The sequence below is a fragment of the Homo sapiens genome, chromosome 1 (assembly GCF_000001405.40).
Source record: "Homo sapiens chromosome 1, GRCh38.p14 Primary Assembly".
Lineage (NCBI taxonomy): Eukaryota > Metazoa > Chordata > Mammalia > Primates > Hominidae > Homo > Homo sapiens.
The window spans coordinates 236,124,851-236,131,446 of NC_000001.11; the positions used below are offsets into that span (position 1 = coordinate 236,124,851).

The window sequence follows — 6,596 nt, forward strand, 5'->3', positions numbered from 1 at the left end:
TAACCCTCCTTCCTTTCTTGCTGAAGTAAATGAGATATGGTTTATGACGTTTGCAGCTCAGGGGGTCTTGACTAATATAGTCTCTATGGAGTCAGATCCTGATGTTCAGCTACTCTTGGTCAATGGTTCCTGCCGGGGCTCTGGCCTCTCACTCCTGTAGTAGTGCAGGGCACTGCAGGGCCACTCATGTCCTCTCTCACCTCTGGGCCTCTGGGACAAGCCTCTAAGCAGAGTGGATGTCTATGCTGAGCAGCATCTGCTGACACCAACCAGACCACTTCTTCTGATGATGGTGACAGTTGCTCAGGTTCTCACCAAGAGCCTGGGGCTCCCTCCTGTGGGCTTCCCTGGCACAGTTTGCCGATGGTTATTTAAGCACATATCACAAGGGTGGGTGTGTGTCTGTCTTAGGTTATGATCTGAGAGACCAAAATAGACACCCCTGGCCAGGTGTGATGGCTCATGCCTGTAATCCCAGCACTTTGGGAAGCCAAGGTGAGAGCATCCCTTGAGCCTAGGAATTCAAGACCAGCCTGAGCAACATAGGGAGACCACACACACACACACACACACACACACACACACGCACACACACACACACACAAGCCAAATGTGATGGTGCACACCTCTAGTCTGATGTAGGCTGATGTAGGAGGATCACTTGAACCCAGGAGGTCGAAGCTGCAGTGAGCCATGATTGTGCCACTGCAGTCCAGCATGGGTGACAGGGCAAGACCCTGTCTCAAAAGCAAAACAATACAAAACAAAACAAAACACCAAAATAGACACTCCTTTATCAACTAAGACAGATCCTAAGGTTAAGGAGCCAAAAGTTATTAACAGGTCGAGGGTTCAAAGTTTGGCTGGCATGGCAACTTCTTAAATTCCTACAGGAAAAACCACACTCTTGCTAAACTCCCTAACAACAGGAGCTAGCAAGCAAATTATCCTAACTCTGATTTACAACCCAGACCACTAAAACTTTCATTGGACAGAGGACCATCTTACAAACGCTCTTTCCTGATAAGCAACTGCACACCTCCAGCCAGTTCCAATGTGACTTAGAGACTGCACACAAACTGTCTGTGTCCTCTAGGTTACCTTTGACATAAAGAGCCAAATTCCACCTCATTTTAATCTAGGCCCCCCACAAAGTGAACATGGTAAACATATGTGTTTACCTATTGCACACTGAGTGCCCCTCATAAATATGTATTGATTTTGCCCTAAACTTGCTGAATATGCGGACTCTACTTTGTAACACAGACTCTACCGTGTAACACCCATCCTGCCCTCTCCCTCTTTGAAGAGCAAGCACTTTCAGTCCAAGCTGGAGACCATCTCTTCCTGGTTTGCAAACTAATATCAACCAACAAAGCTCTCCTTTCTTTCTTTTTCTTTCTTTTTTTGGATGCAGTCTTTCTCTTGTCGCCCAGGCTGGAGTGTAGTGGCTCAATCTTGGCTCACTGCAACCTCCACCTCCCAGGTTCAAGCAATTCTCCTGCCTCAGCCTCCCAAGTAGCTGGGACTACAGGTGCCTGCCACCATGCCTGGCTAAGTTTTGTATTTTTAGGAGAGACGGGGTTTCGTCACGTTGGCCAGGCTGGTCTCCAATTCCTGACCTCAGGTGGTCTGCGGGCCTTAGCCTCCCAAAGCGCTGGGATTGCAGGCGTGAGCCACCGCGCCCAGCCCAAAGCTCTCCTTTCTACCGCCGAGCCACCCTGGTAGTCTTTTGCATGGCAGACTTTTCGAGACCTAGGCCTGTGTCATAATCATCTCCATAGTCTCAGCACTTGCCACAGTGCCCAGCACGTGTGCTGCTTTCAACCAGCTGGCGAGGTCTATGTGCTCCCAGCCCATGGTGGCTCGTCAGTCCCTCAGCTCCCAGGAGTCCTGTGGGTGCTCACAGAAATGCCAACCACTGTCCAACATCAATTTTTTTTTTTTGAGGTGGAGTCTCTCTCTGTCGCCCAGGCTGGAGTGCAGTGGCATGATCTCAGCTCACTGCAACCTCAGCCTCCTGGGTTCAGCCTCCTGAGTAGCTGGGATTACAGGCATGCACCACCACACTCGGCCAATTTTTTGTATTTTTAGTAGAGACAGGGTTTTGCCAGTTGGCCAAGCTGGTCTCGAATCCTGACCTCAAGTAATCCGCTGGCCTCGGCCTCCCAAAATGCAGGGATTACAGGTGTGAGCCACCACGCTCGGCCAGCATTGACTCTTTTACAGCTTGCTGTTGTGGAGTCAAGAAGGATCCAGACCAAGATCCAACCTTCACAGCAGGTCAGAGTTAAAATGTCATTACTCGAGCAGCACTTACTGGAGCAGAACAGAACTGGCTGCTCACTGGCCCTTGGCCTTGCTGCCCTTGCTGCGGGGGGACCAGAGTCCAGAGCCTGGCTGCATATTGAAGGACACCAGCCAGAAAGGGCAGCAGGGGGAACTGCAGTTCGTAAGGTCATCAGCTCCAGGGGCCACTACTATGGCCGTGGAATTGGCTGTTGTCATCCCAGGTTGGCGGAAGTGGTGGGTCCTCACTGGGCTTTTTGGGCCACGTTGCCCTGTGGCTCAGAGCTAGACATGAGGCTTTCTGGGCCAGCTCTGACCTCAGTTAGCTGTGTGGCTTTAGGGAAGGTCCCTAACCCTGAGCTTCCTTTAATCGTCTGTTAGACAGAGAGAACAATAATTATACATTAATAAAGACATGTTTACGGATGAACAAAATACTGTGTGTTAAAGTGTTCAATTCTAACACCTTAAAAATGGTTGTTTTTGGTTCGTTTGCTTGTTTGGTTGGCTTAACTCCAATCTGTGGTCCTCCTCCCCCTCTGCCTCTTATGGTCTGACCTTCTTAGGGTTCTCCAAAACCTGCTTGCTCTCAGTCCTCGCAGCTCACACAGGCTATGCTATCTGACCCCCTACTTTTCTGTGTACCAAATCTTTTTACATTCCTAGTTCCTACTTGTCATTTGAGCCCTCCCTAATTGTATACTTCCTTCTTTCCATCTTAATCCTGTGATTCTCAGTCCCGGAGCTGGGAAATGTTGCACCTAGTAAGTGACTGCTCATTTCAGGGCCATGCGTGGCTGAGTCACTTGTTATTTTTGTTTTTTGTTTGTTTGTTTGTTTGTTTGTTTTGAGACGGAGTCTCGCTCCGTTGCCCAGGCTGCAGTGCAGTGGCGGGATCTCGTCTCACTGCAACCTCTGCCTCCCAGGTTCAAGCGATTCTCCTGCCTTAGCCTCCTAAGTAGCTGGGATTACCGGCACACACCACCATGCCTGGCTAATTTTTGTATTTTTAGTAGAGACGGGGTTCCACCATGTTGGCCAGGATGGTCTCCAACTACTGACCTCAAGTGATCTAACCACTTCGGCCTCCCAAAGTGCTGGGATTACAGATGTAAGCCACTATGCCCGGCCTAATTTTTGTATTTTTAGTAGAGATAGGGTTCGCTATGTTGGCCAGGCTGGGCTCGAACTTCTGACCTCAGGTGATCCGCCCACCTTGGCCTCCCAAAGTGCTGGCATTACAGGCCTGAGCCACTGTGCCCAGCCCCAAGTTAGTTGTTATAAGGGGCAGAGAGATAAAGAGTGAGACAGACCAGCATCTATCTGTCACCAATAATGTAAGAACAGCCCAAGGTCTTCTGTCACCACCGTTAAACTGTCAGGATCAGCACCATTCGTGGCTCCCAATTGGTGGGCTCTCATGTTCTAGATGTAGGGCTAGGCACTTACATGCATTATTTTATTTCATTTTCGCAGTAGCTCTGTGAGGTTGATGGCCTAGTCTGGACAGGAAGAGCGGTGGGTACTGACAAGGCTGTGCTTACAGTACATCAGTGAAGCACAGCACTTGTGCATCCCAGCAAAGCTCAGAGCGACCCATTTCTCACCTCAGTAGCTGGCATCCGCCTGCCAGTGGCCTGCCTCATTCTCTGGGGTCCCAGCCCGCTCCAGAAACTCACCCAGCTCGCTGACAGGGGACTGTGCAGGCTGCTGCTGTAACCTGGTGGTGGGCTGTCATCAGACGGCCATAGAGGATCGCCCTGAGGCTTGGTTGTGGAGGTTGTCAAAGCAGAAGGCTGGCAATATTCCCATGGCCCAGAACGTGCTGAGGCAGCATATGTGAGTCAGGCCATGGCTGCTGCAGCCACAGTGGGGCTTTGTGCTGTGATCGTGTGCAGAGCAGAGCAGCCACTCAGCCATCCACTGACTCTCCAAATTGCTTCTGAGCACCTATAATTCCAGTTCTCCTGGGAAAAGCCCTGCAAGACCCGGGCTTTCCCCTACCCTGTTCTGCTGATTCCTTTTGGTTGATTTCCCAGTATGAGATCCAGCATTATTCCTTTTGAAATTGCAATCCCTGCTGTTTTCCCACATTGAGAGCACAACTAAGAAGCACTTTCTTAAGAATCTGCTTCCAGGTGCTCTTGGACCAAGTTTAAGTTCTCTGTCTACTCTAGTAGGGTCCGTCTATTCCCAGGGCATCTGTCTGAAGCGGGGCCTCTGCTGGCCAAATCCTACTAGCCAAGACCTGGATCTCCCAGAGCTCAGAAAGCTCCCACTAGCAGGGCCCCTTGGCTTGCCTTCCTGCCTCCTTTCTCTCCCTTTGTCCCCTAGTGTCCAGATGAGAAGACACAGGATGGCTCTCGTCCCAAGAAGGCCTTCGCTTGTGCTGTGGGCACAGAGGTCTTTCTCCCCTCTCTGAGCACAAAGCAGTCACTGTGCTCTGCCGAGCAGAGGAAAAATGCAAATGGTGCTCTGGGTGTGGCCAAGTTCCTTGGGCCCCAAGTGCTGGCCTGCATTCTTTATGGGGTAGCCTTTGTTTTCCCTTTCTGCAGGCTGTGCCTGAAATATGAAGATTACTTAAAACTCATACTATGCCAGGACACGGACACCACAATAAACTGGGTAATGAGTGTCAACTCAAAGACTATTTAAGATTAGTTGCTGCACAAGAAAACTTGAAATGTTCTGAAAGCTTATGAACCATAAATGAAAGAAAAGTTCATTCATCACAATGTCCTCAAGCTTGAAAACAACCGTAAGAATCTACAAGGCTAACAACGAGTTGCAAAGCTGAAACAAACTCTCCTGAACCTTAATAACAAAAACAAGGTGTGATCAATTGTGCAAGAGGAAAGAAGTATCTTCCTATTCCCTCTACGGAAAGATATTATTACAGAATTATTCTTTCTGTTGTCATTTGTTTTATTTTTTATTTTTATTTTTATTTTTAGAGACAGGGTCTCATTTGTTTGCCCAGGCTGGAGTGCCGTGGCATGATTATAGCTCACTATGGCCTCGAACTCATGGGCTGGAGTGATCCTCCAACCTCAGCCTCCCAAGTAGCTAGGACTACAGGTGTGCAGAATCATTCTTATATTAAGAGGGGTATACAGCCAAAAAAAATGCAGAGGAACCTCGGGCAATTACTAAGCAAAAACATTGCATTATTCTTCTGAGTTTTGTGATATGTGTAGTATTGGTCAGCGTCTGAAACTTTGTAATTTGTTCCAAATAAATTTCTTGTTCTAAATAAATATTTACTTTAGTATTAAATTTTGCATATGTAATTTTATTTTTTCTTTCCTTAAAGAGGATCTCTAGTATTGAAGAAGGTTGCAGGCCCCACAAAAACTGGATCTGGCCTGGCCTCTGGAACTGCTTTCTCAGCACTGCTTTCAACGTGTCCCTCACCTTCATTCCTTTTGCCCTGCCCTGGGGCCATAGGTAAAGCCTTTCTTGCATAGTTCACCGAAGCCTGGAGATTTCAATTCTATCAATAGCTATACATGTTGTGTGCCCAGGGACACCCATAATAGCTAATTTTCCCTGCAGTGCGTGAATGTTATACTCCTGAAAGCAAGATCTGGTCAGTTCTCAGTCCCTTTGATGTAATGAAGTTCTGTGGGTACAACCAGCCACCTCTTTCTGCATGAGCTCCTTGAAACACTGCCTTTTCTGGAGATGAAAATGGGAACCAATTAGGAAGAACACTGAACGTTATCAGGCAGCTTAAATGCCTTTGCAAGAACTCCTGGTAAGCACTGGATCTAATTTTCCCCTCCGAAACTTGAGCAAACCACTCACTATGACTTTCCTGGAGCAGGAAATTATGTTGTTTTTTTTTTTTTGGGTGGGGGGAACAGAGTCTTGCTATGTCACCCAGGCTGGAGTGCAATGGCTTGATCTCAGCTCACTGCAACATCCGCCTCCCGAGTTCAAACGATTCTCCTGCCTCAGCCTCCTGAGTAGCTGGGATTACAGGTGCACACCACCACGCCTGGCTAATTTTTGTATTTTTAGTAGAGAGGGAGTTTCACCATTTTGGCCAGGCTGTTCTCAAACTAATGACCTCGTGATCCACCCACCTCGGCCTCCCAAAGTGCTGGGATTACAGGCGTGAGCCACCACGCCCGGCTGAGGTTATGATGTTAAGATGCTTCTTAGGATTCATTTATAGTAACAATTTCATTCTGTTTCCAGGTGAATAGGAAATAGTCTATGTTCTTGACCTTTTAGACTAAATTTCCTTTTTTGTCACAGATCCACTTAATAATACCAAAGTTTTAATGAAATTATTGAATCAT

The 6,596-nt window shown here is 48.0% G+C and overlaps 3 annotated features.

Annotated features, from left to right (window-relative positions):
* Positions 3,743 to 4,710: a meiotic recombination region, noted in NCBI's record as "this region was identified as a recombination hotspot within the HapMap CEU population". NCBI's record gives the evidence for it as "EXISTENCE:nucleotide sequencing assay evidence [ECO:0000219][PMID:20981099]".
* Positions 3,743 to 5,270: a biological region, named in NCBI's record as "meiotic recombination hotspot MSTM2".
* Positions 3,971 to 5,270: a meiotic recombination region, noted in NCBI's record as "MSTM2 hotspot, crossovers mapped in sperm cells of males of European ancestry". NCBI's record gives the evidence for it as "EXISTENCE:DNA detection assay evidence [ECO:0005519][PMID:16543360, PMID:15880103]".